Source organism: Homo sapiens, chromosome 5, assembly GCF_000001405.40.
Source record: "Homo sapiens chromosome 5, GRCh38.p14 Primary Assembly".
Taxonomy (NCBI): domain Eukaryota; kingdom Metazoa; phylum Chordata; class Mammalia; order Primates; family Hominidae; genus Homo; species Homo sapiens.
In genome coordinates, this window is record NC_000005.10 from 34,183,806 (window position 1) to 34,198,878 (window position 15,073).

Below are 15,073 nucleotides of genomic sequence, written 5' to 3' on the forward strand. Positions count from 1 at the left end.
TATTTCCTAGATAAATAAAGTCAATTAATTATATTTGCATCTGGGAAATAGAGAAAGTACATATAAGCCATGATTTTGAAGTCAAAAGAGAGAGAATATTTGGCAAGGAGGGGTGAGTTATAGTATGTAATTATAACATATAGTAGTTTTTTGTATGCTGGTAACTAATTTTAATTTCCTACATTTTTATGTAGATTTCTGCTATTCTTGTGCTGTTTTCCTAATCACCTTTCTATATGGATGACTACATAAGTCTGAGAATACCAAAAGAGACAGACACAGAACCAATCGGATTCCTTTCTTCTTGAAGCTTCTGCACAGCAGAAGAAACTGTCAACAGAGTGAACAGACAACCTACAGAATAGGAGAAAACTGTTGCAACAATGCATGTGACAAAGATCTAATGTCCAACACTGATAAGGAACTTAAACAAATTTACAAGAAAAAAAAAATCTCATTAGAAAGTGGGCAAAGGACATAAACAGACACTTCAAAAGAAGACACACATGCGGCCAACAAGCATATGAAAAAAAGCCCAATATCGCTGATCATTAGAGAAATGCAAATCAAAACCACAATGGCATACCATCTCACACCAGTCAGAATGGTTATTATTAAAAAGTCAACGCCGGGCATGGTGGCTCACGCCTATAATCCCAGCACTTCAGGAGGCCAAGGCAGGCAGATCGCATGAGGTCAGGAGTTCCAGACCAGCCTGCACAACCTGGCGAAACCCCGTCTCTACTAAAAATACAAAAATTAGCCCAGCGTGGTGGCGGGCGCCTGTAATCCCAGCTACTCAGGATGCTGAGGCAGGAGAATCGCTTGAACCCGGGAGGCAGAGGTTGTAGTGAGCCGCGATCATGCCACTGCACTCTCCAGCTTAGGTGACAGAGCGAGACTCTGTCTCAAAAAAAAAAAAAAAAAAAAAATTTGAATTTTGTTTAAATCACTAACACATACTGGGCATTTAATAACAAAAAAAAGGACATGAGATTGTGATCCTTAGGAGGGTTTGAGAGGCATTTCACTAGGGTTCAACATAGAGCAGTCTGAAACATACTGTAATAATTTAATCCAATGGCTCATCTACAGCACCTAAAAAGATTACAGCAGATTCTCATTATTCAGTGTAGTTACGGTCTAGAAAGTTCCATGAACAAATAAAAAGTTAGGTTTCAGCAAGCTACTGGTCACATTTTTGTAAGCTTACCAACACCTACTTTTGTTGTATGTGTGCTTATTTAATATATATTGTTGGCCAGGCACAGTGGCTAATGCCTGTAATCCCAGCACTTTGGGAAGCCAAGGCGGGCAGATCATTTGAGGTCTGGAGTTCGAGACCAGCCTGGCCAACGTGGTGAAACCCCGTCTCTACTAAAACTACAAAAAATATATATATATATTAGCCAGGCATGGTGGCGCATGCCTGTAGTCTTAGCTACTTGGGAGGCTAAGGCAGGGGAATCGCTTGAACCCAGGAGGCAGAGGTTGCAGTGAGCCAAGACTGCACCACTGCACTCCAGCCTGAGCAACAGAGTGAGACTCTATCTCAAAAAAAATAATAATAATTAATTAAATGAAGAATAAATAAATAATATACATTGTTCATTCATTAACATTGAACTCACAGCCAATGGCACTACAGCACTCACGCCTGAATGGAGTTTATTCAATGCATGTATTTCCTCTGTAAGACACATCACAGACTTCTTGGACTTGTGAATGCTAAGCAGCACTTCAGCACTATGCTTGGGGGTTAATTTAAATGGCAAAACAACCAACAAACAATACAAAAACAGGAAAAGCATGGCATTAAATAGACCACAAAAAGGATACCTGACTATTGTATGAGAGCTGAAAAAGAAGGCAGAATATCATCCTGTTCAAACTCAAATTCTTTTGACACTCTGCGCAAACACATGACTATGAAAGGCTGTGAGTACTGATTTGGGGGTTACAAAAAATAGTAGGTGAGTTCACAAATACAAAAGCTGAAAACAAGGAGGATAGACTGTATTTTCGTAGACAATCTAATCTCAGAAGATTTCAATTCAGACAAAAATCATGAGAATTACTGTATTACAAAAGGGCACTAGATAGGGGAAAAAGAGTAAAAATCACAATTAAAACAAAGGTTCAAAATTCTGCAGCAACCATATCCAGTTACACTTTAATATGTTTGTGGCAGACTACATTATTGTTCCCAACTCATCACCCCTCCCTATATCTAAAACCTTTCCCCAAGACAATGCAGTTCCTCCTGCTAGAGATCAGGTATATTTATCTATACTATCAATGTTAGCCATGGACAAGGTATGTGCTTTGGCTGACTGAATGTTAGTGGACATGATAGAAGCAATGGCTTAAAATGTACTTCCAGAACTGGAGTTTCCTTGTGATTCTATCACTGTGACAAAAACACATTCTCAGGTAGTCCACTGATCCAAGGGGGAACAAACACACAGAAAACATACCTAGACTCTATCTGCAGCTCGCAGCCTCACCAAGCCAGGAACAGTCAACTCACAGATATGTTAGCAAAAATAAATGTTTTTCGTACCTTAAGTTTTATATAATTATTGACCTATAGTTAACTGATATACAATATACATTAATCTTAAAATATCATTATCCCATTAAAAATATTTACATTAAAAACTGAGACCACTTTCTTTCCTCCTTTTTTTTTTTTTTTTTTTTTTTAAAATTAAGAGACAGGGTGTCTCAATGTTGCCCAAGCTGGAGTTCAGTGGCTAGTGGCTATTCACAAGAACGATCATCGCACACTACCTCAAACTCCTGGGATCAAGCAATCCTCCTGCCTCAGCTTTCCAAGTCGCTGGGACTATAAGTGTGTACCACAGCATGTCAGCTCTCTCTCTCCTTCTTGACCTAAAGCCTAGCATAAAATTAGCTAAGTAGAATGTTTCCAAAGATGCCTGCATCAGTATCTCCCATCCCACATAATTTCTGTTTGATTTTGCCATTCACCCATAAAATGGTGGGATCTACCTCCCCTCCTTGCAAATTTGAGCTGGCCCTCTGATCCTGTCTAAGATCTGAAGCCAGATATTAAGGTACTTCATTAATTTCCATGTTTGTCCTCTATGCAACCTAGCAATCAAGCCAGAAGTCAAAACATACTGACATAGTTTGGATGGGTCCCCACCCAAATCTCACCTTGCATTGGAATAATTCCCACGTGTCAAGGGTGGGGCCAGGTGCAGATAACTGAATCATGGGGATGGTTCCCCCCATACTGTTCTCGTGGTAGTGACTAAGTCTCATGAGATCTGATGGTTTTATAAATGGGAGCTCCCCTGCACATGCTCTCTCCTGCCTTGCCACTATGTGAGACATGCTTTTGCACCTCCTTGCCTTCCACCATGATTGTGAGGCCTCCCCAGCCATGCAGAACTGTGAGTCAATTCAACCTCTTTCCTTTATAAATTACCCAGTCTCAGGTATGTCTTTATTTGCAGTGTGAGAACAGACTAATACAATAAGTTGATACCAGTAGAGTGGGCTGCTGCTGTAAAGATACCCGAAAATGTGGAAGCAACTTTGGAAATGGGTAACAGGGAGAGGCTGGAACAGTTTGGAAGGCTCAGAAGAGGATAGGAAAATGTGGGAAAGTTTGGAACTTCCTAGAGACTTGTTGAATGGCTTTGACCAAAATGTTAATAGTGATATGGACAATAAGGTCCAGGCGGAGGTGGTCTCAGAGGGAGATGAGGAATTTGTTGGGAAATGGAGTAAAGTCACTCTTACTATGCAAAGACACTGCAGGCACTGTGCACCTGTATTAGAAACGGGCATAAGATAGGCGGGAAAGAGTCAAAATAAGAATTTTTTTCTAGAGTTCCCTAGAGATCTGTGGAACTTTGAACTTGAGAGAGATGATTTAAGGTATCTGACAGAAGAAATTTCTAAGCAGCAAAGCATTCGAGAAGAAGCAGAGCATAAAAGTTCAGAAAATTTGTAGCCTGATGATGCAACAGAAAAGAAAAATCTATTTTCTCAGGAGACTGGGTTGTAGAAATTTGCATAAGTAATGAGGAGCCAAATGTTAATCACCAAGACAATGGGGCAAATGTCTCCAGGGCATGTTAGAGACCCTCACAGCAGACCCTCCCATCACAGGCCAGGAGGCTTAGAAGGAAAAATGCTCTTGTGAGTCCAGAACCCCCTGCTGTGTGCAGCCTAGGAACCTGGTGCCCTGCATCCCAGCTGCTCCTGCCACAGGTAAAAGGGGCCAAGGTACACCTCAGGCCATGGCTTCAGAGGGTGCAAGTTCCAAGCCTTTCAGGTTCTAGGTGGTGTTAAGCCTGCAGATGCACCGAAGAATTAACGTTCATGAACCTCCGCCTAGATTTCAGAAGATGTATGAAAATGCCTGGAAATCCAGGCAAGTTTGCTGTGCACGGGAGCGGGGGGCCCTCATGGATAACCTCTGCTAGGGCAGTGTCAAAGGGAAATATGGGGTTGGAGCCCCCACACAGAGTCCCCACTGGGGTACTGCCAAGCAGAGCTGTCACAAAGGGGCCACCATCCTCCAGACCCCGGAATGGTAGATCCACTGACAGCTTGCACTGTGTGCCTGGAAAAGCTGCAGACACTCAATGCAGCCAGAAGGGGGGGCCGTACCCTGCAAAGCCACAGGGGCGGGGCTGCCCAAGACCCTGGGAACCCACTTCTTGCATCACCTAGATGTGACACATGGAGTCAAAGGAGGTCATTTTGGAGCTCTAAGATTTGCCTGCTGGGTTTTGGACTTGCATGGGGCCTGTAGCTCTTTCGCTTTGGCCAATTTCTCCCATTTGAAACGAGTGTATTTACCCAATGCCTGTATCCCTGTGTATCTAGAAAATAACTAACTTGCTTTTGGTTTTACAGGCTCACAGGTGGAAGGGACTTGCCTTGTCTCAGATGAGACTTTGGACTATGGAATTTTGAGTTAATGCTGAAATAAGAGTTTGGGGGACTTAGGGGAAGGCACGATTGCTTTTGAAATATGAGGACATGAGATTTGGGAGGGGCCGGGGAAGAATTATATGGTTTGGCTCTGTCCCCACCCAAATCTCATCTTGAATTGTAACAATTCCCATGTGTCAAGGGTGGGGCCAGGTGGAGATAACTGAATCATGGAGGCAGTTTCCCCCATGCTGTTCTCATGGTAGTGAATAAGTCTCATGAGGTCTGATGGTTTTATAAATGGATGTTCCCCTGCACATGCTCTCTCCTGCCCACCATGTCTGACTAAATTTTGTATTTTTACTAGAGACGGGGTTTCACTATGTTGGCCAGGCTGGCCTCCAACTCCTGATCTCGTGATCCGTCCACCCCGACCTCCCAAAGTGCTAGGATTATAGGCATAAGCCACCACACCCGGCCTCTTTTTTTTCTTTTTCTTTTTTTTTATCTGGAGACTGAGTTTTGCACTCGTTGCCCAGGCTGGAGTGCAATGGTGCGATCTCAGCTCACTGCAGTCTCCACCTCAGCAGGAGAGCAGGAATCTTCAGTGATCCACGGGCAGATCTGCAGCCATTGTGGGCACCTGTTCCTCCCGCGACCTTTGTGCCCACGTCTCTCCCTCCAGTACCTATTGCACGACCCCCCACGTCCGCCTCCTGCCATTGCCAGCAAGTGCCTTGCGCGGGTACCTGGCTGCGCTTATTAATCCATTATGGTCGCTCTGTCACTGGTGCCATTATGTGCTCACGTGCCCACTCCCTCAGGTTTAGAAGTCGCGTCGCCCGGCAACAGAACAATCTGCTGGCTTAGCCTTTGGCCAAGTTGGCAGCTGGACGAGGACGCTCAGAGCCCAGCTCTCGAGAGTTCAAGTATCCGACAGTTCCCCACTGCTCCCAGGAGCGGTTACCCGGGCACTCTGTGCCCCTCATTCCTGTTTGGGCCAAGGCCGAGGACCTGCGAGTAGGGCTCAGTTGCCTGGAGCCCCTTCAGCCCATCGCCCAGTTCACTTTGCTTGTGGGATCTCCCCGTTGCTCCTGCCCCTGGACTGAGTGGCAGGCCATCCTACAAACACCCGGACACTCGACATCAGTGGTGTCAAGACAACTCTAAGAAGGTTTTCCGTGATCCTGCAAGACCTGTGTTCCATCCTGGTGATTCTCTCTTCAATTTCACTGCACAGGTACCACAGTAAGCCAGTGCTGTGTGCTCCGAATTCCAGGGCATCCCCCAGCTCAGCCACTACACTCAGCACAAGGACTCTGTGGGGCCCAGGAGCAGGTAGTCACCCCTTTGGGCTCCTCAACACCCGGCTGTCCCCAGACTTGTGTCCAGGGAAGATAGTGTTGAGGGCCCTCAAGGAGAGCAGGGCAGGGATGCCTGAGCAGGACAAGGACCCCAGAGTCCAAGAAAATCCTGATGATCACAGAACGGTCCCCGAGGTCACCGGGGATGCACGGTCTGCATTTTGGCCCCTGCGGGACAATGGAGGCCTCTCTCCCTTTGTGCCCAGGCCCGGGCCTCTGCAGACAGACCTCCATGCCCAGAGCTCAGAAATCAGATATAACCAGACATCCCAGACATCCTGGACGAGCTCGAGCACCAAACGAAATGCTATCTCCAGCTCCTACAGCTCCACGGGAGGCTTGCCGGGGCTAAAGCAGAGGAGGGGACCAGCCTCATCCCGCTGCCAGCTGACCCTCAGTTACTCAAAGACAGTGAGTGAGGACAGGCCTCAGGCTGTCTCTTCGGGTCACACACGGTGTGAAAAGGCGGCAGATACAGCACCAGGGCAGACACTCGCCCCCAGGGGTGGCTCCCCCAGATCCCAGGCCTCTAGGCCCCGTAGACGCAAGATTCCCCTGCTGCCAAGCAGGCGAGGGGAGCCTTTGATGATGCCACCTCCCTTAGAGCTGGGGTACCGGGTCACGGCTGAAGACCTGCACCTGGAAAAACAGGCGGCATTCCAGCGCATCAACAGTGCACTGCACGTTGAGGACAAGGCCATCTCGGACTGCAGACCCTCACGGCCTTCCCACACTTTGTCCTCACTTGCAACAGGGGCTTCGGGTGGGCCTCCCGTTTCTAAAGCACCCACTATGGATGCACAGCAGGACAGACCCAAGTCCCAAGACTGCCTGGGCCTAGTGGCCCCCCTAGCATCTGCTGCAGAGGTCTCCTCTACAGCTCCCGTGTCTGGGAAGAAGCAGAGACCACCAGGACCCCTGTTCTCCTCCTCAGATCCCCTTCCTGCCACCTCTTCCCACTCCCGGGACTCAGCCCAGGTCACCTCGATGATTCCTGCCCCCTTCACAGCTGCAAGCAGGGATGCCGGCATGAGAAGAACAAGGTCGGCCCCTGCAGCTGCCGCAGCAGCCCCTCCCCCCTCCACATTGAACCCCACGTCGGGGTCACTACTCAATGCAGTGGATGGAGGCCCCTCACATTTCTTGGCCTCAGCCACAGCTGCAGCACGTGCCCAGAGGTCAGAAGTGAGATACAACCAGAGATCCCAGATCTCCCGGACCAGATCCTGCCTCAAACGAAATGCCAGCTCCAGCTCCCACAGCTCTACGGAAGGCCTCCCGGAACTAAAGCGGAGGAGGGGGCCAGCCTCATCCCACTGCCAGCTGGCCCACAGTTCCTCAAAGACAGTGAGTGAGGACGGACCTCAGGCTGTCTCTTCGGGTCACACCCGCTGTGAAAAGAGGGCAGATACAGCACCAGGGCAGACACTCGCCCCCAGGGGTGGCTCCCCCAGATCCCAGGCCTCTAGGCCCCACATCAACAGTGCACTGCACGTTGAGGACAAGGCCATCTCGGACTGCCGACCCTCGCGGCCTTCCCACACTTTGTCCTCACTTGCAACAGGGGCTTCGCGTGGGCCTCCCGTTTCTAAAGCACCCACTATGGATGCACAGCAGGACAGACCCAAGTCCCAAGACTGCCTGGGCCTACTGGCCCCCCTAGCATCTGCTGCAGAGCTCCCCTCTACAGCTCCCGTGTCTGGGAAGAAACACAGACCACCAGGACCCCTGTTCTCCTCCTCAGATCCCCTTCCTGCCACCTCTTCCCACTCCCGGGACTCAGCCCAGGTCACCTCGATGATTCCTGCCCCCTTCACAGCTGCAAGCAGGGATGCCGGCATGAGAAGAACAAGGTCGGCTCCTGCAGCTGCCGCAGCAGCCCCTCCCCCCTCCACATTGAACCCCACGTCGGGGTCACTACTCAATGCAGTGGATGGAGGCCCCTCACATTTCTTGGCCTCAGCCACAGCTGCAGCACGTGCCCGGAGGTCACAAGTGAGATATAACCAGAGATCCCAGACCTCCCGAACCAGATACTGCCTCAAACGAAATGCCAGCTCCAGCTCCCACAGCTCTACGGAAGGCCTCCAGGAACTAAAGCGGAGGAGGGGGCCAGCCTCATCACACTGCCAGCTGGCCCTCAGTTCCTCAAACACAGTGAGTGAGGACGGACCTCAGGCTGTCTCTTCGCGTCACACCCGCTGTGAAAAGGCAGATACAGCACCAGGGCAGACACTCGCCCCCAGGGGTGGCTCCCCCAGATCCCAGGCCTCTAGGCCCCGCATCAACAGTGCACTGCACGTTGAGGACAAGGCCACCTCGGACTGCAGACCCTCACGGCCTTCCCACACTTTGTCCTCACTTGCAACAGGGGCTTCGGGTGGGCCTCCCGTTTCTAAAGCACCCACTATGGATGCACAGCCGGACAAACTCAAGTCCCAAGACTGCCTGGGCCTAGTGGCCGCCCTAGCATCTGCTACAGAGGTCTCCTCTACAGCTCCCATGTCTGGGAAGAAGCACAGACCACCAGGACCCCTGTTCTCCTCCTCAGATCCCCTTCCTGCCACCTCTTCCCACTCCCAGGACTCAGCCCAGGTCACCTCGATGATTCCTGCCCCCTTCACAGCTGCAAGCAGGGATGCCAGCATGAGAAGAACAAGGCCTGGCACCTCGGCTCCTGCAGCTGCCGCAGCAGCCCCTCCCCCCTCCACATTGAACCCCACGTCGGGGTCACTACTCAATGCAGTGGATGAAGGCCCCTCACATTTCTTGGCCTCAGCCACAGCTGCAGCACGTGCCCGGAGGTCACAAGTGAGATATAACCAGAGATCCCAGACCTCCCGGACCAGATCCTGCCTCAAACGAAATGCCAGCTCCAGCTCCCACAGCTCTACGGAAGGCCTCCAGGAACTAAAGCGGAGGAGGGGGCCAGCCTCATCCCACTGCCAGCTGGCCCTCAGTTCCTCAAACACAGTGAGTGAGGACGGACCTCAGGCTGTCTCTTCGCGTGACACCCGCTGTGAAAAGGCAGATACAGCACCAGGGCAGACACTCGCCCCCAGGGGTGGCTCCCCCAGATCCCAGGCCTCTAGGCCCCGCATCAACAGTGCACTGCACGTTGAGGACAAGGCCATCTCGGACTGCAGACCCTCACGGCCTTCCCACACTTTGTCCTCACTTGCAACAGGGGCTTCGGGTGGGCCTCCCGTTTCTAAAGCACCCACTATGGATGCACAGCAGGACAGACCCAAGTCCCAAGACTGCCTGGGCCTAGTGGCCCCCCTAGCATCTGCTGCAGAGGTCTCCTCTACAGCTCCCGTGTCTGGGAAGAAGCACAGACCACCAGGACCCCTGTTCTCCTCCTCAGATCCCCTTCCGGCCACCTCTTCCCACTCCGGGGACTCAGCCCAGGACACCTCGCTGATTCCTGCCCCCTTCACACCTGCAAGCAGGGATGCCGGCGTGAGAAGAATGTTTTGTGTTCGAAATTGTTTGAGGGGTTTGGGTTTATTTTTGTTGGTTTTTTCTCTTTTTTTTTTGCTTACATGGGCATCCTTCAGCTTTTAATAATCTGAAAAACTCTATTTACCCATTGTCAATGTGTATAAATTAATCTGAGTCAATTTTATACAATAAAAGGTGAACTTTTATGCATGAAACAATAATTTAACAAAAAATGTACCTGAAGAAGAATGTTCATTACAAATATAGGAAACATAAATATTACCAAATATTGGCAAGCACTAAAATGTTCAGAAATATAAGTCTATTACAGTTATAGCTCTCTCAAGCAAAAAAACAGCAGAGAAAAACTTAGTTTACCTTAGGGGCTATTTATTTACTTAGGGATTTGTTAAAAGGTCGAATGGGGTCACACAGAATACTAAGAAGAGCTGTTCACCCAGGCCTCACTAAGAACTCTTCTTCATTCAGTAGCTGTATAGTAACATGACAACTGCTCCTACGACCCAAAGAGGAACTACAGCAACTACTCTTTAGCATCTGTTGCTCCCAACTCTGCTTTGCAATTATATGACTCAAGCATTCTGGCTCCGTTAACTATTACTGCTGTTACTCCCAATTAAATTCCCTCTAAAAAATAAAAATTTTTAAAGCTCTAATTTAAGCTCTCTGCTGCCTCATGACTTCAATTCCATCAGAGTTATGCATTGTTTCCTCTGTACATCTTTGCTCTGCTTCCATTGCTAATTCCCTAGTAAAGTGTTGTATATTCAAAGTTCCAAAGAAACAGAATATCCAAGACATCACCAATCATCCAAAACACAGTGTAGGAGGCCACAGTTAAGAGAAGCAAGACCATTAGCTCTTTTTATAGGCTCGAGAACAACAGGATGCTTTGGTCCTGTATCAGCAGGACGCTTTTCGGGTAGATCCTACTGCCACCCTAGCTATGGGCACATGTCAGAGTCCCATGTAATAAAGGAGACAAAAGGAAACCACCACGAGTATAAACTAAGAAAAGTACTCCAAGGTTTCTAAGAATGGAGCTGTATAACTCACTTTGCCCCATTTGTTACTTCTCCACGGTACTTACCACCACCTATTACATATATTTTGTTTATAGTCAGTCTTCCCCCATTAGAATGAAAGTTCCGTGAGGATAGGAATATACAGTCAGCCCTCAGTATCCATGGGGGACTAGTTTCAGGATCTCCTGAGGATAACAAAGGATACTCAAGTCCCTGATATAAAATGACATAGTATTTGCACATCACCTTTGCACATCCTCCCATATACTTCATATCAACTCTAGATCACTCATAATATCCGATGTAAATGTCATGCAAATAGTTATTGTACTATATTGTGTAAGGAATAAGGACAAGAAAAAAGTCTTTACATGTTCAGTACAGACGCAATTTTTTTTTCCAATATTTCCAATCCTTGGTTGGCTTAACAGATGTAGAACCCAGGAATAAGTTCTGGTGTCCTATTGCATAGTAGGATGAGTATAGTTAACAATAACATATTATATATTTGAAAATAGCCAGAAGAGTAGATTTTGAATTTTCTCCCTACAGAAAAATCATTATGCAAATTACCCTGATTTGATCATTACACATTGAGTACATGTATTAAAACATCACATTGTACCCCATATATATGTACAATTATTATGTGTCCATAAAAATTTAATGTCAATATGTGAAATAAAATGAAAAAATAAAAATTTTTAAAGCTGTAATCATCTCCATCTGGTAGGAATATATATAATCTGAAATAAAAAATATATTTGTAATTGTTAGGACAAAATAGATTATACATTAATCTGCAAATTACAAATTATAAAATTCTCACAGAAACTGAAAAATTATTGATACTGTTAAATATTTAAAAAGCTGTCGTTGGAGAGAAAGAAACCTATCAGATTTACATCAACAAGTGTAATATATCAGCCTATTACCATCTGCTACAGACTGCATGTTTGTGTTCCCTCAAAATTCATATGATAGGCCGGGCGCGGTGGCTCATGCCTGTAATCCCAGCACTTTGGGAGGCCGAGGCGGGTGGATCACGAGGTCAGGAGATCGAGATCATCCTGGCTAACATGGTAAAACCCCGTCTCTACTAAAAATACAAAAAATTAGCCGGGCGCAGTGGCGGGCGCCTTAGTCCCAGCTACTGAGGAGGCTGACGCAGGAGAATGGCGTGAACCCAGGAGGCGGAGCTTGTAGAGAGCCGAGATTGTGCCACTGCACTCCAGCCTGGGTGACAGAGCGAGACTCTGTCTCAAAAAAAAAAAAAAAAATTCATATGATAAAGCCCTAACCCCCAAGGTGAGGATACTGGGAGGCGTGGCCTTTAGGAGAGAATTAGGTTTAGATGAGGTCATGAGAATAGAGCCCCTGTGGTGGCATTACTTCCTTTATAAGAAGAGACACTAGAGCTGCTTTTCTCCCTACCATGTGAGGATACTGAGAGAAGATGGCCATTTCCAATCTAGGAAGCAGGCCCTCTTTAAGAAACACAATTTGCCAACACTTTGATCTTGCACTTCCAGTCTCCACAACTGTGAGAAATATCTGTTTTTTTTGTTTGTTTGCTTTTGTTTTTTTTGAGACAGAGTCTCATTCTGTCATCCAGGCTGGAGTACAGTGGTGCGATCATGGCTCACTGCAACCTCCGCCTCCCAGGTTCAAGCAATTCTCCCACCTCAGCCTCCCAAGTAGCTCAGACTATAGGCGTGCACCACCATGCCCAGCTAATTTTCGTAGAGACAAGGTTTTGCCATGCTGCCCAGGCTAGTCTCAAACTCCTGAGCTCAAGTTATCCACCTGCCTCGGCCTCCCAAAGTGTTAGGAATACAGGCATAAGCCACCACGCCTGGTCAAAATATCTACTGTTTAAGCTACCTAATTTACGGTATTCTGTTTTAGCAGCTGAAGCAGACTAAGATACCATCCTATAAGCTACAGACCAGCACTATCCAATAGAACTTTATATGACGAGGAAATGTTTTATATCTGTGCTATCCCTTATGTTAGCCACTAGCCACATGTATCCATCAAGTATTTGAAATATGGCTAGTGCAACTAAAGAACTTAATTTTTAATTTTTTTTTTTTTTTTTGAGATGGAGTCTCGCTCTGTCCCCCAGGCTGGAGTGCAGTGGCGCCATCTCGGCTCACTGCAAACTCTGCCTCCCAGGTTCACGCCATTCTCCTGCCTCAGCCTCCTGAGTAGCTGGGACTGCAGGCGCCCGCCACCACGCCCGGCTAATTTTTTTGTATTTTTAATAGAGATGGGGTTTCACCGTCTTAGTAAGGATGGTCTCGATCTCCTGACCTAATGATCTGCCCGCCTCGGCCTCCCAAAGTGCTGGGATTACAGGCGTGAGCCACCACGCCTGGCCAATTTTTATTTCATCTTATTTAAATAACCACATGTGGCTAGTGGCTAATGTATTGAACACTACAGCTGTAGACAATACGAAATAAATATAAAGCAGTCTCAACTTTGGAAAAACAGAAGACTCTTACTGCCTCATAATATAGATGAAAAATGAAATACTAAGTTAAGTAAAACGTTCTTTAAAGAACAAAAACAAAAGAAAACCTAATGAAAGCTATAAAAGTCCATTGGATAATAATGCTACCAGTACTAAGGAAGTACAGCCCCTAAAAGTGACTTGCAGTCACAAATATAAAAATGACTATTCAAGTGAACTCCTAAGGTAAAAATTTCTTATTCACCATGCTCCAAAATGGTCTGTAATATTCTTCAGAGATGGCATGGTAAAGTACGATACAAGGGTAATATTAACAGTATGCTGTCACAGGTGCCATTCTCTTATAAAAGAAATCCCAAAATAAATATAAATGGAAAGCAAATAATTAGTGGAGTTTTTACGGTCAATCAATGGTAAATATTATTGGCATTAGATTTTTCTATTAATTATAGTTTACCTATGATCATGTATTTTTCCATTTAAAAATTACCCTAAAACTTAATGGCTTAAAATAACAAATATGTATGACACAATTTATAGAAGTCAGGGAAATGATGGATTTGGGTAGGTGGTTCTGACTCGAAGTCTCTCATGAGTAAAGGTTGCTGTCATGTTGTTGACCCAGGCAGCATCCCCCGAAGCCTTTAACTTGTGTTGGAAGGTCCATGTCTTAGTTTGTTTGCACTGTCGCTATAGAATACCATAGACAGGGTAGCTTATAAACAACAGAAATGTTTCTAATGGTACCGGCGGCTGGATGGTGCAAAATCAAGGTGCTTGAGGATTTGGTGTCTGGTCAGAGCCCATTTTTTAGTTCATAGATTACTGTCCTCTAGCTCACATGGCAGAAGGGTCAAGGACGCTTTTTGGGGTCTCTTTTATAAGGGCACTAATCCCCGGCTGGGCACGGTGGCTCACATCTGTAATCCCAGTACTTTGGGAGGCTGAGGCAGGCAGATCACGAGGTCAGGAGTTCCAGACCAGCCTGGCCAGTATGGTGAAACCCCGTCTCTACTAAAAATACAAAAATTAGCCAGGTGTGGTGGTGCATACCTGTAGTCTCAGCTACTCAGCTACTCAGGAGGCTGAGGCAGAAGAAACAGTTGAACCCAGGAGGCAGACGTTGCAGTGAGCTGACATGGCACCACTGCACTCCAGCCTGGGTAACAGAGCAAAACTCTGTCTCAAAAATAAATAAATAAATAAATAAAAATAAAAATAAAAAATAATAATCAAGGCACTAATCCCCAACATGAAGACAGACTATCATCTACCAAAAGCTCCACCTCCTACTATCATTACACTGGGGGTTAGGATTTCACAAATTCAGTGCATCATAGTCTGCTTCTAGAATGTTTAATCATTTGGCTGGATATCAGATAGGATGCCTCGGTTCTTCATGTGAGCTTTCTAGAAAAGATAGTTTGGAATTATTTGCATGGTGGCTGGGCTCGTAAAGAGTTGAAGGAGAGAAAGAGAGAGAAACACCAGTAAGGAGCAAATTAGTTCACTCAAAATTAAAACCCTAGCCTTTGTGACCTTGTCTCAGAAGGTAACATTCCAATCCTGTGGTGTTTTATTTCTTAGATGGGAGTCACTCAGCTTAGCCTGCCTTCAAGGGGAGGAGTATGAAGCTCCACTTCTTAAACTGAGAAGAATCAACAAATATGTAGATATATATATTTTTAATAGTATTACAGCTCATGAACCCATTTAAACCCATTTTAGAACTTTAAAGAAATATTTTAAAACGGAATTTTCAATTAAGCAGAAGAAATTGCCAGCTGTGGAACAGTGAACTTTATCGCTGAAATCACACACAT

General features: G+C 46.5%; 1 protein-coding gene and 1 pseudogene across 2 annotated transcripts in view, besides 7 other annotated features; one reads left to right on the forward strand and one right to left on the reverse strand.

The window, feature by feature from the left end:
* The window catches only part of C1QTNF3 (C1q and TNF related 3), a 226,867-nt gene that overhangs the window by 165,948 nt on the left and 45,846 nt on the right, over positions 1–15,073 (reverse strand). The gene's annotated exons all lie outside the window — the stretch shown is intronic.
* Positions 4,567–4,735: a silencer, noted in NCBI's record as "fragment chr5:34188477-34188645 (GRCh37/hg19 assembly coordinates)". NCBI's record gives its function as "represses an EF-1alpha promoter that drives an FKBP-Casp9 reporter gene in an ReSE screen in HepG2 liver carcinoma cells {active_cell/tissue: HepG2}" and the evidence as "EXISTENCE:reporter gene assay evidence [ECO:0000049][PMID:32094911]".
* Positions 5,776–10,399, forward strand: LOC646652 (integral membrane glycoprotein-like pseudogene; annotated as a pseudogene). Its single transcript, NR_157803.1, has one exon. The product of NR_157803.1 is annotated as an integral membrane glycoprotein-like pseudogene (transcript).
* Positions 5,985–6,054: an enhancer, noted in NCBI's record as "active region_22457". NCBI's record gives its function as "activates an Ori minimal core promoter by ATAC-STARR-seq in GM12878 lymphoblastoid cells {active_cell/tissue: GM12878}" and the evidence as "EXISTENCE:reporter gene assay evidence [ECO:0000049][PMID:35858748]".
* Positions 6,909–7,889: an enhancer, noted in NCBI's record as "H3K27ac-H3K4me1 hESC enhancer chr5:34190819-34191799 (GRCh37/hg19 assembly coordinates)". NCBI's record gives its function as "activates a minimal SCP1, AML or CMV promoter by ChIP-STARR-seq in naive and primed H9 embryonic stem cells {active_cell/tissue: H9 hESC(naive and primed)}" and the evidence as "EXISTENCE:reporter gene assay evidence [ECO:0000049][PMID:30033119]".
* Positions 7,699–7,878: an enhancer, noted in NCBI's record as "active region_22458". NCBI's record gives its function as "activates an Ori minimal core promoter by ATAC-STARR-seq in GM12878 lymphoblastoid cells {active_cell/tissue: GM12878}" and the evidence as "EXISTENCE:reporter gene assay evidence [ECO:0000049][PMID:35858748]".
* Positions 7,890–8,871: an enhancer, noted in NCBI's record as "H3K27ac-H3K4me1 hESC enhancer chr5:34191800-34192781 (GRCh37/hg19 assembly coordinates)". NCBI's record gives its function as "activates a minimal SCP1, AML or CMV promoter by ChIP-STARR-seq in naive H9 embryonic stem cells {active_cell/tissue: H9 hESC(naive)}" and the evidence as "EXISTENCE:reporter gene assay evidence [ECO:0000049][PMID:30033119]".
* Positions 8,778–8,857: an enhancer, noted in NCBI's record as "active region_22459". NCBI's record gives its function as "activates an Ori minimal core promoter by ATAC-STARR-seq in GM12878 lymphoblastoid cells {active_cell/tissue: GM12878}" and the evidence as "EXISTENCE:reporter gene assay evidence [ECO:0000049][PMID:35858748]".
* Positions 8,872–9,852: an enhancer, noted in NCBI's record as "H3K27ac-H3K4me1 hESC enhancer chr5:34192782-34193762 (GRCh37/hg19 assembly coordinates)". NCBI's record gives its function as "activates a minimal SCP1, AML or CMV promoter by ChIP-STARR-seq in naive and primed H9 embryonic stem cells {active_cell/tissue: H9 hESC(naive and primed)}" and the evidence as "EXISTENCE:reporter gene assay evidence [ECO:0000049][PMID:30033119]".